The following is a 17,946-nucleotide window of genomic DNA, read 5'->3' as shown; positions in this document are numbered from 1 at the left end:
GGGCTGCATGCCACAGGGGTTCTGAAGTCCCCGGGAAGAGGCAGGGTCCTGACTGGCAGTGGACTGCTGTGCATGACCCATTGCTGAGGCTGCAGCCGCCTGGGCTTTTCTGTGCAGCTCCTATCTCCGGTGGGGGCCTTGCTGGTGTGGGACTGTCACGTTGCAGAACAGGAAAGGGCTGGGGCTCTGCCTCCACTGCCCTGCGGTGGGAACCCCTGTGTGTGCCTGTGGGCATGCATGTGAGTGTGTGTGAGCATGTGAGTGCGTGCATGTGAGTGTGTGTGAGCACGTGAGCCATGTATGTTGGAGGCTGGAGGTACTTTCTCAGGTTTGGTTGGAATCTGATGGGGTGGAAAGGGCTTGGCGAGGAGCCTTAGCTGTGCCCACCCTTTCTGGTCCTGACCCTACTTTGATGGCTGCCCTGCCTGAATTCTTCAGCTTGACCCCTCCCCTCCCCTCCACCTCCATGCCAGCACCCCTTCAAAGCTTCCCCCTCTGCTTTTTCCATCTGCTATAACTCTTCATGTATTTTTGGTTTTTCTGAACATCTGACATTTTTTTACCTAGATGGAAACTCCATGAGGGCAGGGATCTGTTTTGTTCATTCTTATAACCCCACTGCCTAAAGAATGGCCCACGCTGGCAGTTTATTAGATGGATGAGTGGGTGGAGGGACAGGTGGGCAGCTGAGTGCAGGTGAGTAGGTGGAAGGGTGGATAGATGGATGAATGATGGATAGTTGGGTGGGTGGGTTGATGCATGATGGGTGGTTGGATGGATGGATGGCTGTGTGATGGGTGGTTGGATGGATGGATGGATGTGTGATGGGTGGTTGGATGGATGGATGGATGTGTGATGGGTGGTTGGATGGATGTGTGATGTGGTTGGATGGATGGATGGATGGATGTGTGATGGGTGGATAGATGGATGAATGGTGGATAGTTGGATGGGTGGGTTGATGCATGATGGGTTGTTGGATGGCTGGATGGATGTGTGATGGGTGGTCGGATGGATGGATGGATGTGTGATGGGTGGTTGGATGGAAGCTGGGTGAGTGCTTGGAAGCTGGGTGAGTGGATGGAAGCTGGGTGGGTGGGTGGATGAACAATGGATGGGTGGATGGATTCATGGGTGAATAAATGGATGGATGGAAGGGTGGAGGGGTGGGTGAATGAGTGGGTGGGTATATGGAAGGATGGATAGATGAGTGAATGGAATAACAGATGGGCAAATTCGTGTGGTGTTTTATCATTTCTGACATACCCTTTTCCTCTTAGAAACCCTGTAACGTTCCCCTCTTGGCCTCCTATCTGTGTGCTTTCTCTGGTAGTGAAGTTTCTGACACATGAGCCACGCTGTTGGGTTGTGTCTTCAAGACTGTGCTTTCTGCATCCTAGGATCCAGTGTTAGGACTGAGCTCTTTGATGGGGCTTTGAGTTGACTTCAGGTTTTGTGCATTTGCGTGATATGACCTGACTTTGAAATTGCCCTGTGTTCCTGTTCCCGGGCCCTTCCACTCACTCCTTGTTCTCTGTTCTTGTGTTTCATTTTGATCGTTAATTCTGCATAAACTAAGCCTTCATCAAGTGCTTGAGTTTTACCATTGTGGCCTTTGGAAATTCTAGTTTTTCTAGTTCAAAGCTCTTAGCTGTTTCTTAGGACCAGAAAGGAATTGTCTTTTTATTTATTTAAGAACTTAAGTGGTCAATCTTTACACGCCCTTCCCCTCCTGGGGCACGTTCCCAGCGCGTTCCCAGCCCTCCCCCAGGTCCTGAGGTTCTCTGCCTGCTGTGCCCCCTCTCTAGGTGAGCCCTGAGACCCTGCATCTCTCTTCTCCTAGCTCCTGGAGCAGCCCCCCAGGGGTAAGTTCTGGAGCTCTTGAGCCAGGGGTTCACATCAGCATCCCCTCGCGTGGGCCCTCTGCCCCCACCCCCATGCCCTCTGTCTTCCCTGGGCTTGTGTCCAGCCCCCTGCCAGAGTCTCCATGTAATGATGTGGAGACCCTCTGGGCACCCCCTTCCTTGTTCACAGACCAGGAGCACACCCAGCACCCAGCCCCCGCCTGCAGCAGGTAAGCCGTTTGCTGAAGCCCTGTGAAGCCAGGGCTTTTCTGGAAGCCCCTTAGGCCAAGGGTTGATGGCTTTGGTGCTAGGGTCTCTGGGCAGGCAGGGCAGTGCACCAGCCCCAAGCCTGGTATGGGACAGGTCCCCAGTGGCGGGGCAGGTGCATGAGGCCATGAGGGCTGGATGGGCCTTGGCTCCTGGGAGCTTTTCTTTTGCCGTTAAGAATGCTTTTCTGGCCGGGTGTGGTGGCTCGCACCTGTAATCCCAGCACTTTGGGAGGCTAAGGCGAGCAGATCACCTGAGGTCAGGAGTTCGAGACCAGCCTGGCCAACATGGTGAAACCCCGTCTCTACTTAAAATACAAAAATTAGCCAGGTGTGGTGGTGTGCACCTGTAATCCCAGCAACTCGGGAGGCTGAGGCAGGAGAATCGCTTGAACCTGGGAGGTGGAGGTTGTGAGCCGAGATCGCACCATTGCACTCCAGCCTGGGCGACAGAGTAAGACTCTCTTAAAAAGCTTTTCTGTACTATAGCCAGGAAGCTGAGCCCTGCGTCCCTCCTACGGGGAGAGGGGGAGCTTTTGGCAGGCTGCATGCGTGAGTGAGCACAGCAATAGGTTTGCCCAGGTGGACTCTATCCTTGGTGTGGGAGGCGAGGCTGCCATGGTGATGGGGGTGTGCAGAGTATGGGTGAATTTCCCCCAGGTTTGAATGACTCAGCAAGCCTTTGACTCCAAGCAGAATCCTAGGGTGTAAGGAGAACATCAAATTTATTTTGAATGAGAATTCCTAGAAAAGGAAAGATAAATCCTGATAGTCAGCATAGCTGAACATTTATTTTATGAAAATAGTGTGTCTTATAAAAGCTCTATTAGAAAATAAAAGATACAGAGCTAAAAGACACAGAGCTCACTAAATTTGACCTATTTACCTTCAGATGATTTTAGAATTAAAAATCTGTCATATCACATCTCTTTTCAACTCAGCCTTGGTGGGAGTGTTTACAAATGCCGCCAATTCAGGATTCTCCCTGAGGGTTGGTGGGGAGCAGCCCCTCCAGTTACCTTGTTTAAACAGCGCTGTAATCCACTCATGCTAGCAGCCCCTCCAGCTCCCTATAAACAGTACTGTAATCCACTCCCGCTTTGCTTAACTTTATCTTCTGTGCAGGGCTGTGCTGCAAGTGCTTAACCACCAACCCTCAGGGGAATCCTGAATTGGCTCTGTGCTAGGAGTCAGCCCTAAGGAACACAGGGACAGGACCTTCCCCGGCTGGTCCAGTTCATCCAGAACCCAGTTGCTCTTGGTTCTCATGGTCCTTTATTAAAAAAAAGAAAAGATGTTTTAACTATAAAATTAATTCATTTCATCAACACCTTTCCTGCACTATTTGAATCAAATATGGGAATTATGTCGTTTTGTAACTCATGGATTAAGTGCAGGCATCAGTCATTGGCTTGGAACTGGGGAAATCCTGGCATTTTTTGACTTCATTTCACAAGTGTCTGTCAGTACCTGCTATGGACCCAGCTTTCCCCCCCACCGACCCCCTGCGACCCTCCCTGCCAGGTGCTCAGCATATGCCCTGCACACACCAGGCATTTATTCGGCACTCGCTGTGTGCCTGACAGTCTCAGACTGGCCCCCAAACAGACCCTGTCATTGCCTGCACAGAGCTGGGGAGAGAAACACACGGGGGAACCATCGCACAAGCAGGGCTGGATGTGGAGCTGGTGGGGCGATTGCTGGAGAGGGGAGATTTTGAGTCCATGAGAGCCCCCAGGGTCACCCTAAGCAGGCAGGTGGCCCGAGCTTCCCCAGAGGGAGAGTGCTCGAGGCAGAGGACAGGTACAGCCAGGGGATGCGGGTGGCCTCCAGGCACTGGAAAGCCACATGCAGAGACTAAGAGAGAGGACGCGGGGCTGGAGGATGGCCTGCAGTGTACGCACAGGGCCATCTGTAGCTGCCCTGGGAGGAGGGAGACAGTGGGGCCGGCACAGGCTCGTGAGTATGGTGTGGAGGGGGCTGGGTGTGTGGCTGGGGGCTGGGCCCTGGGACCCCTTAGGCTGGGGTCTTTATGGAGCAGTGGGAGTCTAGCCAGTGGGACTGACACATGGTGAGGCCAGCGTTGTGGAGGACTGTGCTGTCGCGAGGCAAGGGACAAGTAGGTCTGGAGGCTGTGCGGCAGGAGCAGGGGCCGCGAGGCGAGGGGGCTTGTGGCTGTGCAGGGGGCTGCTGGAGGCAGGAGGGGTTGCAGTGAGGACTCCACCTCTCCCTGGCTGGGTGGGAGGATGAGCTGGCAAAGGCCAGGAGCAGCATCTCCTGCAAGCAGGGAGAACAGCACCCGGGGAGTCCTGGACGCTTCCACCTCCGAAGCATCGACGGGAAAGGCTCTGCCAGCCAGGCGCTGCTGCTCTCGGGGCACCGGGTTTGCAGAGGCTAGAATGTACGCGATTGCAATTCCAGGACAAACACGGAGGGCCACTGTAGTGAATTCAGCAGTGGCTCCCAAAATCCTTGTCCACACAGACTCTCAGAATGAGACCTCAGTTGGAAATGGGCTCTTTCCAGATGTAATGAGTTTGGGTCCTTAAGTCATCGTGGATTTAGGGTGGACCCTAAATCCAATGACTGGTGTCTTTATTTTTTATTCATTTTTTTAGAGACAGTCTTGCTCTGTCACCCAGGCTGGAGTGCAATGGTGCAATTTTTGGTTCACCGCAATCTCTACCTCCTGGATTCAAGAGATTCTCCTGCCTCAGCCTGCCTAGTAGCTGGGACTACAGGCATGCGCCACCATACCCGGCTAATTTTTATATTTTTAGTAGAGACGGGGTTTTGTCACATTGGCCAGGCTGGTCTCGAACTCCTGACCTCAGGTGATCCACCTGCCTCGGCCTCCCAAAGTGCTGGGATGACAGGCCTGAGCCACTACACCCAGCCTTATTTTTTATTTTTGAGGTGGAGTTTCGCTCTTGTCACCCAGACTGGACTATGGTGGTGTGATCTTGGCTCACTGCAAACTCCGCCTCCTGGGTTCAAAGGATTCTCCTGCCTCAGCCTCCCAAGTAGCTGGGATTACAGGCGCTTGCCACCACGCCGGTTAATTTTTGTAGTAGAGATTGGGTTTCACCATGTTGGCCAGGCTCGCGAACCCCTGATCTCAGGTGATCCACCCACCTCAGCCTCCCAAAGTGCTGGGATTACAGGCACGAGCCACCGCTCCCGGCCTGGTGTCTTTAATAACAGGAAGGAGAGGGAGATTTGACGGCCTTGTGAGGACAGAGCAGAGATTGGAGAGATGCAGCCACAAGCCAGGGACGCTGGGAGCCACTAGAAGCTGGTAGAGGCAGGAGAGATCCACCCTGGAGCCTCCAGAGGGAGCTGGGCCCTGCTGATACCTTGATTTTGGACTCCTGGCCTGTGCGACTGTGAGACAATGAATTTCTGTTGTTTTAAGCCTCCAGTTTGGGGTCATCTGTTACGGCAGCCACGGGAAACACATACAGCTACTTTCTGAAAATGAAAACAAACAAAAAGCAAAGCAAATACAACTCCGCATTAAAAAAGCAAACCAAACCAAACCAACAATTCCATGGAGATTAGTTTTATTTGCCACATATTTAAAGGAGCAAGACCTTTTCAGCGAGGGGCAAACACCTGCGGCTGGGTTTGCTGTGCTCTCACGGGCATTAGCAGCCACCTGTTGATCTCTGGTCCCTGCAGAGGTGCCCCCCTCGGGGGCAGGACAAGCTTATATCGGTCAGCCTCCCTTTCACGGGGCAGCCTGAGGATATCGGGGGCCACTAGAAATCAAATTTGGAAGCAGGAATGCCGGTCTGCAAGTTCAAATTCAAACCTTCCAGATACAAAGCGCTGTCTTCACTCAGGGCTGGCCACCTTTTCCTGGGCCTTTTAGAGGAAATCCCAGGCTGGAGGTGAGAAGCCGAATCTTCCAGCCCTCGGATGAGGGGAGAGTGAGTTCCGACCCGGAGCAGGTGGGACCGGGAAGCTACGTGGAGGTCATGGGCCTGGGCCTCACTTTCCTCTGGGAGAGTCTGAGCCCCGGGCCCAGCCTGGGTTCTTACTACCTGGGACAGACAGAAGCGGCTGTGGGAAGGGCAGGGCTGGGCCCCACAGGCCCTTTGTTTGCCGTCGAGGTTGGGTGAGTACACCCAGCCTCTCCCGGTGGCTTTGTTATTCCAGAGTGTGCTGTGCTTGGCCACTGGCTGGAACTTGGAAAGCAAACACTCCCAAATGTCACATATTTTAAAAGTAGAAGCAAGATAATTTGAAGTGTCCAAAGGAGGAGAAATATACCTTAAGCGTCACACCTCCCGTGAACGCACGGGATTTACAAAGGCCAGGAAGCCACGAGCACTGACTTGCTCATATGAGTGTGCAGCTGGGTGTGCAGGTATGCATCTGTGTGTGACAGGATGTGAGGTGTCTGTGAGGGTGTGTCAACGCATGTGTATGTATGTGTGTGTGTGTGAACAGGTGTATGGACATGTGTAGACGGGAAATTGAGTGCATGTGTGAATACATGTGGAAGGTTATAAGCATTGTGCAAATGTGTGTGCAGGTGTGTGTGTGCACATGGCCCGCCTGCAGGGCGGCGGGGTGCAGCATCTGTGGTGGGCTGACCCCCATAGCGGGGAGTGGTAGGGGGGTTAGCCTCCAGGGGTGCTGGGAGCCTGGATGAGGGTCTAGGGCTCGCTCCTCTCTGCCTGCTTTAACTGAGTGGGGTGGGAAACCCCTCTGTTCCCATTTCCCTGGGGGCAGCCCCTGCCAGTGCAGAACAGGCGGATGGGATCCTGCCCTGACTCCTGGGGTGGAGGGGAAAGCACCCCCCTGGCCTGTGCCTGGCTCTGACCCGGCGTCAGCTCTGGTGCCTGTGAGCCCTCGGGGTTACTGGCGTGGAGGCCGTGCATGCTCATGAAATTCAGCAAAACGTCAGCGATTTCAGCCCTCCTCGTTCTCGAGAGGGCTTCATACTGGAATCTGGAGTCACCTTGGCTTAGCCAGTTACACATTCTTTTTTTTTTTTTTCTTAAGAGACGGAGTCTCGCTCTGTCCCCCAGGCTGGAGTGCCGCGGTGCGATCTCGGCTCACTGCAAGCTCCGCCTCCCGCGTTCACGCCATTCTCCTGCCTCAGCCTCCTGAGTAGCTGGGACTACAGGCGCCCGCCAACACACCCGGTTAATTTTTTTTTTTTTGTATTTTTAGTAGCGATGGGGTTTCACCGTGTTAGCCAGGATGGTCTTGATCTCCAGATCTCATGATCCTCCCGCCTTGGCCTCCCAAAATGCTGGGATTACAGGCGTGAGCCACCGCGCCAGGCCCAGTTACACATTCTTAGGTGTTGCAACCTGGTAATGAAGAGTGGGAGATGCCTGGGGGAAGCAGAGGGAGAACTCAGATTCTTCAGAGGCACCATTTACCTCTGATGATTGTTATGCTGATTATAAATCAGTTTCATTTGTTCTTCAAAAGCTCATTGGAAGCATTCCCTTGGAGGATTGACAGGCTTTCCTAAAACGACTGAACTCACTGAAATCAGCCCGTGGCTGAGGTTGGCCTCCCTGAGAAACAGACTCCAGGCCCCAGCTCAGGAGGCAGCCGGTGTCCAGGAGCCTTCAGGAGCCACAGCTGGGGGCAGGGAGGGGCCCTGGCCTGGGCAGAGGGGAGGTCGGACTGCCCTGCAGGTATACAAGGCCTCAGCCACCCCACAGCGTGCTGCAGAGCTGGGATGGCCCCTCGGGGATGGCCTGCGTTGGGCAGTCTGATGGTCACTGTGTCCACCCTGACCCATTGCTGGATGGGGGCTGCCCCAGCGAGGGCAGTGGAACTGGGCCGGGAGGCGGAATCTGAGTGCAGGGTCTCAGCTGTGAGCCATCAGCAACCCACACCCCAGAGCCCCGTCCTGGAGGGGAAGGGTGGGGGGTATACCTCAGCACCTACCCTTGATAGCACCTGATTTCTTTTTTTTCTTGTTGTTTGTTTGAGACGGAGTTTTGCTCTTGCTGCCCAGGCTGGAGTGCAATGGCACCATCTTGGCTCACTGCAACCTCGGCTGCCCAGATTTAAGCAATTCTCCTGCCTCAGCCTCCCGAGTAGATGGGATTACAGTTGTGTGCCACCACACCCAGCTAATTTTGTATTTTTAGTAGAGATGAGGTTTCACCATGTTGGTTAGGCTGGTCTTGAACTCTCGACCTCTGGTAATCTACCCGCCTCAGCCTCCCCAAGTGCTGGGGTTACAGGCGTGAGCCACCGTGATCTCTTTATTTTTAAAAATGGATAATAAAGTTTAATGTTCACTAGTCTTTTAAAATTGCCAGTTGTCTCATACATATCTGCTCTGGACAGAATGGTGCCCTCATAAATTTCTACATTGAAGCCCTATGCCCCAGGATGGGTGCTTTAGGAGGTGATTAGGTTTAGATGAGGTCATGGGGTGGGGCCCCCAGGCTGCAATTAGAGTCCTTGTAAGGAGAGGAAGAGACCACAGCCCTCTCCCTTATGCGGCAAGAAGGCACCGTCTGCTAGCTAGAAAGACAGACCTCCACAGAGGCCACCTCAGCTGGAAGCGTGATGTTGGGCTTCCAACCTCCAGAGCTCTGGGAAGTAAGTGTCTGTTGTATAAGCCCCCGATCTCTCATGCTTCATTATGGCAGCCCAAGCAGACTGAGGCGTCGTAAGTGTGTTTTCATTCTGTCTGTTTGAGTTGGCATCAAATTAGGCTGCCCCACACGGCAGCGGCTGTGTGAATCCCACTGGCCGTCCGGAGCGTGGTTGGAGGCCTCTCGGGGGGACATTGCAGGTGCCTGTCCAAAGGGCCCATCGTGGAGCCATCCCACTCTGGGGACTCCAGCGAGGTCTGGGCTCCAGGAAGATGCTGCCATTTGAAGGGTATGCTGGGTTATGCACTGAGTATCCTCACATTGGATGTCCCCCCAGTTCCATCTTTATAGCAGTCTCTCTTTTTTTTTTTTTTTTGAAATGAAGTCTCGCTCTGGCACCTAGGCTGGAGTGCGGTAGTGTGACCTCGGCTCGCTACAACCTCCGCCTCCCGGGTTGAAGCAGTTCTCCTGCCTCAGCCTCCCGAGTAGATGGGATTACAGGCACCCGCCACCACGCCTGGCTAATTTTTGTATTTTTAGTAGAGACGGGGTTTCACCATGTTGGCCAGGCTGGTCTTCAACTCCTGGCCTCAAGACATCCACCCACCTCAGCCTCCCAAAGTGCTGGGATGATAGGTGTGAGCCATTGCGTCTGGCCTGTGGCAGTCTTTTAACAACCCAAGATGACCAGAGCCATGAAGAAAAAAATGGATAAATATGATCACATACAGACAAAAAATTTCTGTGGGGCTACAAATACATAAAACCTAATGTTAAACATTAAGCTGGGGGAAATTGCCATGAAAATGACAATAGTTCCTTCCATAATTTACGAGGAGCTTCTATAACACAATAAGAGCAGGACCAAAAACCCAGCAGAAAGACAAACTCAGGCAGCTTCTAGGAAAGAGAGTGTCAATTGTCAATAAAACAGGAAAAGATGCTGGCCTCATCAAAGATAAATGCAAATGAAAAGATCGTTGAGATCCATTTGTCAGAGATGCAAAATATTTTAAAGATTGATCATACTGGCCGGGCGCGGTGGCTCACGCCTGTAATCCCAGCACTTTGGGAGGCCAAGGCAGGCGGATCACGAGGTTAGGAGATGGAGACCATCCTGGCTAACACGGTGAATCCCCGTCTCTACTAAAAATACAAAAAATTAGCCTAACTCCCCATGTGGTGGAGGCAGGGGAGGCAGCATGGGCTGTGCAGATTGCGGCTCACCATCCCTGTCCGGGGGCGGGAGTGTCACCAGCCACACACCTGGTTGCTGGAGGATGCAGCGGCCAGTCCAGGAACAACTGGGTCGAAGCATGGCGAACACTGAGACCCTCCGAGCAGATGAGGTTCTTAGCACTCCTGGTCTGAGGGCGGATGGAGAGAGGCAGTGTGCTGTGGGCTGCCTGGCTGGTTTTCTGGGAAAGCTTCCAGAACCTTCCTGTCACAAAAGAGTTTAAACTCTAGGAAGGACATCAGAGTAGGGTGGTGCCTGCCCTTCAGGAGCTCACAGGCTGGTGGGCGAGACGGGCCAGATTAGAACCGGGTTGGAATCCAGGGGTGGCCAGACAGTGCGAGGGGTCTGTGTGAGGGGTGGGAGGGCGGACGGCAGTCAGGGCAGGTGGCCTGCTCAGAAGGTGGCCTTTGGGTCATGTGATGGCAGCATGCTCCAAATCTCTGACGAGGCTCTGCTGTGTTCTGCTGTGGCACGGGCATAGGTGTGGGGAGGGGCCTGAGGTGCTCTGGTCTGTTTCTAGGCGTTCCCCTCAGAAGAGTCCAGCTCAGCCTGCAGGGTGCTCAGAACGGGGTTGGAGGCTGGGAAGGGCTCATTGCTGCCATTTCTTTGACCCCACAGAGTGCTTTTTGGGAACCCCCTGGCCACCATCCTTAGTTTGCCCACCAGGAGCTGGGTGCAGCCGACTCTGGCACGGCTCTGGGCAAGTCCTTGAGAACTCAGGGGTTTCTGTTCATGTCACAGACCTGTCCTGGAGTCAGTCGGGTTTTCTTTCAGCAGCTGACTGTGTGGCTGGGGTGTGTCCAGGGTCTGCGACAGGCTCGTTGGCTTTTCCCTGGCTGGTCGGTAACCTCCTCTCTGGCATCTTCCTCTCGCCCCCCAGGAGAGCACTGTGAGGTGGATGCCCGCTCAGGCCGCTGTGCCAACGGGGTGTGCAAGAACGGGGGCACCTGCGTGAACCTGCTCATCGGCGGCTTCCACTGCGTGTGTCCTCCTGGCGAGTATGAGAGGCCCTACTGTGAGGTGACCACCAGGAGCTTCCCGCCCCAGTCCTTCGTCACCTTCCGGGGCCTGAGACAGCGCTTCCACTTCACCATCTCCCTCACGTGAGTGTGCGTCCCGCCGCGCCACACGGGGGTCTCTTTAGGAAAGGGGCGAGCTTCTCCGTGCACCCCATCCCTCTAGATCGTGACGTTGATGTCCTCCGTGTGTGGCCTTTGATAGTTGAGTAGCTCCAGGCCAGGCGCGGTGGCTCACGCCTGTAATCCCAGCACTTTGGGAGGCCGAGGCGGGTGGATCACCTGAGGTTGGGAGTTTGAGACCAGCCTAGTCAACATGGCAAAACCCCATCTCTACTAAAAACACAAAAATGAGCTGGATACAGTGGTTTATGCCTGTAATCCCAGCTACTCAGGAGGCTGAGACAAGAGAACCGCTTGAACCAGAAGGTGGAGGTTGCAGTGAGCTGAGACTGTGCCACTGCACTCCGACCTGGGCAACAGAGCGAGACTCCATCTCAAAAAAAACCACAAAAGCTTATTCCTTCTGTGTCTTTGTTTGTACCCCTTAACCCACTTCTCTTCAGCCCCTTCCCTGCTCCCTCCCCAGCCTCTGGTGACCACCACTATCCTCTCCACCTCCAATAACGTTTAATTAAATGTCTGCACAAGGGAATGTTACGCTGCTGCTTGTCAGATTCTGTATGTCTGAGATTATTGCACTGGACAATTATGAACAGTTTCCCTTATGTGTGACGGTGGCTAAACCATCAGAGCTGACCCTAAATCACCGAGGGTTTTGTAGGGAATACCTTTAAAAGTAAAATCATAAGGTGCCTCCCCAAGCTTCCAGGGCAGTGACACTTTGGGAGCAGTGGGGGCTGTGGGCAGGGCCCTCTTGAGCCTCTGAGAGCCGCTGTGAGGGGCCGGGTTGGGGGGCGCCTAGCTGCTTTTGTTTCAGGTGGGTGCTTTCATAGCCCCTTCTCCTCTTTCTAGTTTCTCTTTGCCAAGTGTCCAGGCTCCCAAGTGGGCTCCGGGCTCCGTTCCCAGCTGCCTCTCATCCCCACAGCTCTTTGTTCTTTCCTTCTCCTTCCCCGGCCCCCTTCTCTGGGCCTTGGTTTCTGTTTTCTGGCCTCTCCTTTTTTTTGCTTTTTGCTTGCATTGTTCCAACCCTCCCCTCGGCTTTGGGTCCCTTCTTTATTGCTCCGTCGCCAGCGGTGTACGTGTGCTTGCCAGGGGGGCCGTGCAGGACTGTTTGACACTGACACCGCCCACCAGCCCCCACCTGGGTCCAAAGGGAACCGCACAGAAGTGAAACCCACCAAAGGCAATCAGGTATGACCCAGGGGCTGAGTCTCAGGAAACAAGCCTGCACTGAGTTGGTCCCGTCGTCATTAAGATCCCTTCTCCCTGCTCATTCCCTGCCCAAGCATCAGTGTGCTGTGTGGGTATTCTTCTTTGTGTTTGTCGTCATTTCTTGCTTGCATTCTAAAGAGAGGGGGTTTGGGCGACAGTTGGGAACCATCAGTTTTTTTTTTTTTTTTGAGACGGAGTCTTGCTTTGTTGCCAGGCTGGAGTGCAGTGGTGGTATGATCTCGGCTCACTGCAACTTCCGCCTCCCAGGTTCAAGCAATTCTCCTGCCTCAACCTCTTGAGTAGCTGGGATTACAGGTGCCCACCACCATGCCCGGCTAATTTTCGTATTTTTAGTAGAGACGGGGTTTCACCATGTTGGCCAGGCTGGTCAACCTGACCTCAGGTGATCCACCCACCTCGGCCTCCCAAAGTGCTGGGATTACAGGCGTGAGCCACCGGCCAGCCGAAACCATCAATTTTAACTCCAGAGAAAAGGCTGAGGTCAGATGCTCGAGGCTGGCTCGGGCCGACTCCTGCTGCAGGAAAATGGATAAACCAACCTTAGGTTAAAAGGAGTTCCTGCCGTGTATCTCTGATGGTGGAGACACCCAGCCAGCTCAGGAGCCAGTCCCAAGCTCACTCAGGAGGTTGCCAAGTTCTCTGAAACCAGGGAGGTGGGGGAGGTGTTGTGGTGATTTGGGTCTGAAGACCCCCTGCCCGGGGCCCCTGGGTGGGAGAAGGATTTCTGAGAATTTGATGATCTCCTGCCCGAGCAGGTGGTTTTTGCTCAGCGTGCTCTAAGTTCTGACAGGCCTGTTCATGTTCAGGCGTCTGTTCATGCCTCTTCCTTTCATTTATTCAAACAGCCCATATTAAGCACTGATATGGACCAGATCTTCTTTGGGTTCTGGAATGCAGCAGGGAATGAGAGCTGCGGTTCCTCCCCTTATGGATCATACATTCTTATAAACCAATGAGTCAGCAGCATGATTTCAGAAATTAACTGAGTGATGTCATAGGCTGATGGGAGGTAAGGGCAAGGTAGAGTACAATGAGTCAGGGCAAGTACAGCTGGGTTGACCCCTGAGTGATCTGCAAAGCCTGGGAAGATTGTTTCTGGCATAGGGGGCAGCTGGTGCAAAGGCCCTGGGGTCTTTTTGACCTGTGTTTGGGAGCCAAAAGATGCTATTGTGGCTGAGTGCCGGGGGGAGAGGCCATAAGAATGGTCCTTCCATAGCATCATCCCTGCCTGGGAAGGTACCAGGTCCCCATGCCCTGGCGCACACACGGGGGGATCTGTTCACAGCAGCAGAAAATGTACAGCACGTGCTTTGCCCAAACACATCAGTAACAGGTGTCCTGGCCGCTGGTCGTACTTGTAGCATGTTGTGCAAATGGGATATTTTTTGCATTCTACAGGCCGTAGTAACCAGACTCCCCATGGATTCTGGTTTGCTGCTTCCAGAAAAGAACCCTGCTTATCAAGCTTGATGGGCTGTCTGCTCCTATGAGAAGGACGCATGCCTGACACCATTCTTTCCTGAATCGTAGCCCCACGTGCTTGCCCTCCTCCGGCTGGACTTGTCATTCCTAGGCAGCCTTTGGACCCTGGGGTCTTCATCCTGTGATGTGCCTCTGCTTGGCCCCACAGGTTTGCCACTCAGGAAAGGAACGGCTTGCTTCTCTACAACGGCCGCTTCAATGAGAAGCACGACTTCATCGCCCTGGAGATCGTGGACGAGCAGGTGCAGCTCACCTTCTCTGCAGGTGGGGCCTTCTCCCCAGGAAGGGCAGCTCTGAGCAATTCACAGATACTTTGTGGGTTAAAACGACCCTCGCCCTGTGCAGCGCCTCCAAGCTGCTTACCCTTTCATCCCTCACTTGTAGGTCTAGGAAGCTGTCTTATTTAAGAAATCCAAAGTACACAAAGATGTTCATAACAGGCCGGGCGTGGTGGCTCACGCCTGTAATCCCAGCACTTTGGGAGGCCGAGGTGGGTGAATCACAAGGTCACGAGATCGAGACCAGCCTGACCAACATGGTGAAACCCCCTCTGTACTAAAAGTACAAAAATTAGCTGGGCGTGGTGGTGCACGCCTGTAATCTCCGCTACTCAGGAGGCTGAGGCAGGAGAATTGCTTGAACCCAGGAAGCAGAGGGTGCAGTGAGGTGAGATCACGCCACTGCACCCCAGCCTGGTGACGGAGTGAGACTCTGTCTCAAAAAATAATAATAATAAAAAGATGTTCATAACAGTGTTATTTATAGTGCTGGAAATGTGGACGATCTGGTTCATGTTTTCAGAAACCAAGGAATCATTAAATTGTGGTACATCTCTAGATTAAAAATGTCAACACTGGCCGGGTGCAGTGGCTCATGCCTGTAATCCCCAGCACTTTGGGAGGCCGAGGCAGGCAGATCACCTGAGGTCAGGAGTTAGAGACCAGCCTGGCTAACATGGTGAAACCCCATCTCTACTGAAAATACAAAAATTAGCCAGGTATGGTGGCACTTGCCTGTAATCCCAGCCACTCAGGAGGCTGAGGCAGGAGAATTGCTTGAACCTGGGAGGTGGAGGTTGCAGTGAGCTGAGATCATGCCATTGCACTCCAGCCTGGGTGACAGAGTGAGACTCCATCTCAAAAAAAAAAAAAAAAAAAATTTTTTTTTTTTTTTTTTGGACAAGGCTGGCCAGGCAAGGTGGCTCATGCCTGTAATCCTAGCACTTTGAGAGGCCAAGGCGGGCAGATTGCTTGAGCTCAGAAGTTCAAGACCAGCCTGGGCAATATAGCGAGACTCTGTCTCTTTTAAAAAAAATATATCGACAAGGCCATTAAACATGTTATTCCAGTTGTTAGAAAAGAACATTTCTCCAGACTGCCAACAGGTATATCTGTGTTTTTCTGGCACACATGACTTTTTTTTTTGTTTTTGTTCTTCTTTTGAGACAAAGTCTTACTCTTTCACCCAGGCTGGAGTGCAGTGGTGCAATATTGGCTCACTGCGACCTCCACCTCCCAGGTTCAAGCGATTCTCATGCCTCAGCCTCTCCAGTAGCTGGGAATACAGGCACGTTTCACCATGCCCGGCTAATTTTTGTATTTTTAGTAGAGACAGGGTTTCACTGTGTTGGCCAGGCTGGTCTTGAACTCCTGACCTCAAGTGATCCGCCCACCTTGGCCTCCCAAAGTGCTGGGATTACAGATGTGAGCCACCAGGCTCAGCCTGGCACACTTGACTTTCAGGAGTGAATTCTGCCATCTCCTCCTTCACCTGGAAGTTCACCAAGATGGCTCAGAGCTGCTTCCGTCTCTAGAACCCTGGCCCGTGTTGAATGACATGTGTGTGATGGTGGAGGATGGAGCTTTGTTTTCTATACTCAATAAAGAAAGGGAGGCACCTGTAACAGCAGCCAACCACCATGGGAGAGGTGGCCATAGCCCTCCGGGCTCTGTGAGGTGGGATTAGGCTATTCCCCTGGCCAGTGTCTCCCACACCCGTTTCCAGAACTCCTGCTGGTTCCCTGGAGACGGTATTCTCTGCCCGGGACCTGGTACCCACCGCACCTGTCCTTTGGTGCCCCTGAAGCTCCTTCCTCCCAGCTGCTGCTGCTGACTCAGGGTTGTGCCCCAGAATCCCCAAAGGGACTCGCCCGCCCCACTCCAGCAGGAGCTCAAGGGGTGGAAATGACAGACACCCCAAAGCAGAGATGCACAAGAGACGCGTCCGCGACCTCACGATGGGACGTGTTACGTGGTTTAAGAGTTGTTAAAAGCCTGAGATGACATTTATTTGATTAAGTGACCTAAAGTGGAATTGGTTTTGATGATTTTGTCTACGTTGATGCAATGCATAGGAAAAAGGGTTCGACCTCTGGTGCGGTGTAGGTGTGACTGCTGCTGGTACAGACAGATGGGTTTTCCGTGTTTATATTTTTTCATATTTAGAAAAGGAACAAGGCCAGGCGCGGTGGCTCACGCCCGTTATCCCAGCAGTTTGGGAGGCCAAGGCAGGCAGATCACGAGGTCAGGAGTTCGAGACTAGACTAGCCAACATGGTGAAACCCCATCTCTACTAAAAATACAAAAATTAGCCGGGTGTGGTGGTGGGTGCCTGTAATCCCAGCTACTCAGGAGGCTGAGGCAGGAGAATCTCTTGAACCCAGGAGGCGGAGGTGGCAGTGAGCTGAGATCACGCCACTGCACTCCAGCCTGGGCGACAGAGCAAGACTCCATCTCAAAACAAACAAAACCAGAAAAGAGGAACAAGAATTACTTTTGTAACCAGAAAAGAAAATGGATGGAGTGGTGGGCGCCTCCCACCATGGTGCCGTGGGGAGGGGAGGGAGGACGTGGCCATGTGCACCTGTCTCCCCCTGATGCCTCACAGCGCAATCCTCGGTCCCCAGTAGGCCCCGCCAACCCCTGTTTTCTCTCTGGGTCTCCCTCCCACCATGCAGGCGAGACAACAACGACCGTGGCACCGAAGGTTCCCAGTGGTGTGAGTGACGGGCGGTGGCACTCTGTGCAGGTGCAGTACTACAACAAGGTAAGATGGGCCCCACCACTTCCCCCTGGCCCCAGGGCGGCTCGAGAAGGTGCCCTGGGGCGAGGCGCAGTGGCTCACGCCTGTAATCCCAGCACTTTGAGAGGCCAAGGCAGGTGGATTACCTGAGGTCAGGAGCTCGAGACCAGCTTGGCCAACGTGGCGAAACCCTGTCTCTACCAAAAATACAAAAATTAAAAAATTAGCCGGGCGTGGTGGCGGGTGCCTGTAATCCCAGCTACTCAGGAGGCTGAGGCAGGAGAGTCACTTGAGCCTGGGAGGCAGAAGTTACAGTGAGCCGAGATCGTGCCACTGTATTCCAGCCTGGGTAACAGAGCGAAATTCCATCTAAAAAAAAAAGGAAGGAAAAAAGGTGCCCTGGTAGATTTTCTGTCTTGAGACATTTGTGCTCTGAATTTTTTTTTAAATGTGCTATTGGAAAAAATGGTTTAGGAAATGCACATTTGTGGAGGGTCTGTGTAAATACACCTGAGCCCTGTGCTGGGGTCATAGTCCCACCCAGAGCTCTGGGTCGGGGGGTACACAGGGACCCCGGAGATCTCCTGCGCTGGGGGAGGGACACAGAAAGGGCTTATTCATTTGCAGCCACCTTGGCCAGAGTCTACTAGTGGCTGAAATTCTGGGCTGTTCATACACGGCTCTGTAGCCAAAATCGTCCACTGTACCTGGATGTAACTGGCGAGCCAGAACACTCTTCAAGGAAGTGCCGTGAAGGCTGGGTGGTTTTGGTTTCACTTTATTTTGCTGTTCGTTGGCTTGTAAGGAAACACATTGTTTTTTGCATCAAAATGCTGTGCTTTCCACGGCTGTGATTTTGCAAATCCCTTTTCTCTTCTTGGGAAGCTCCAGGGTGTGCCCCCGCTTGCTCGTGGGTCTGCGTGGGTCTTACCGGCTCCTCCTGGAGCCTGGCCACCCCCGCTGTGCCCCGCTTCCCGGACTTCACAAGGCTGGGGCCTAAGCTTGGTTGGCAGACGAGGGCTCCTCTGTCCTCCAGGAGAATCGACCCAGTCCTTCTATGGAGAGAGCATCTTCCTTCTTTCACAGCCACTGTGCCTGGCTGCGACTCACCAGCAGTTGGGGTCCAGCCACTGGGCCTGAGGTCGT

At 53.4% G+C, this 17,946-nt stretch overlaps 1 protein-coding gene across 6 annotated transcripts in view, besides 3 other annotated features; it reads left to right on the top strand.

Moving 5' to 3' along the window:
• The window catches only part of CELSR1 (cadherin EGF LAG seven-pass G-type receptor 1), a 176,447-nt gene that overhangs the window by 87,404 nt on the left and 71,097 nt on the right, over positions 1-17,946 (top strand). For all 6 annotated transcript variants that reach the window (NM_014246.4, NM_001378328.1, XM_047441624.1 and 3 more), the window contains exons 3-5: positions 10,806-11,028; positions 13,928-14,043; positions 16,736-16,824. In NM_014246.4, the coding sequence (NP_055061.1) occupies positions 10,806-11,028; positions 13,928-14,043; positions 16,736-16,824 (428 nt within the window). The remainder of the gene's footprint in view (positions 1-10,805; positions 11,029-13,927; positions 14,044-16,735; positions 16,825-17,946) is intronic.
• Positions 6,510-7,461: an enhancer, noted in NCBI's record as "NANOG-H3K27ac-H3K4me1 hESC enhancer chr22:46838653-46839604 (GRCh37/hg19 assembly coordinates)". NCBI's record gives its function as "activates a minimal SCP1, AML or CMV promoter by ChIP-STARR-seq in primed H9 embryonic stem cells {active_cell/tissue: H9 hESC(primed)}" and the evidence as "EXISTENCE:reporter gene assay evidence [ECO:0000049][PMID:30033119]".
• Positions 16,909-17,028: an enhancer, noted in NCBI's record as "active region_19238". NCBI's record gives its function as "activates an Ori minimal core promoter by ATAC-STARR-seq in GM12878 lymphoblastoid cells {active_cell/tissue: GM12878}" and the evidence as "EXISTENCE:reporter gene assay evidence [ECO:0000049][PMID:35858748]".
• Positions 17,599-17,648: an enhancer, noted in NCBI's record as "active region_19237". NCBI's record gives its function as "activates an Ori minimal core promoter by ATAC-STARR-seq in GM12878 lymphoblastoid cells {active_cell/tissue: GM12878}" and the evidence as "EXISTENCE:reporter gene assay evidence [ECO:0000049][PMID:35858748]".

Source organism: Homo sapiens, chromosome 22 (genome assembly GCF_000001405.40).
Source record: "Homo sapiens chromosome 22, GRCh38.p14 Primary Assembly".
Taxonomy (NCBI): Eukaryota; Metazoa; Chordata; class Mammalia; order Primates; family Hominidae; genus Homo; species Homo sapiens.
Note: the sequence above shows the minus strand (reverse complement) of the source record. Positions and strands in the feature narration are given on the sequence as shown.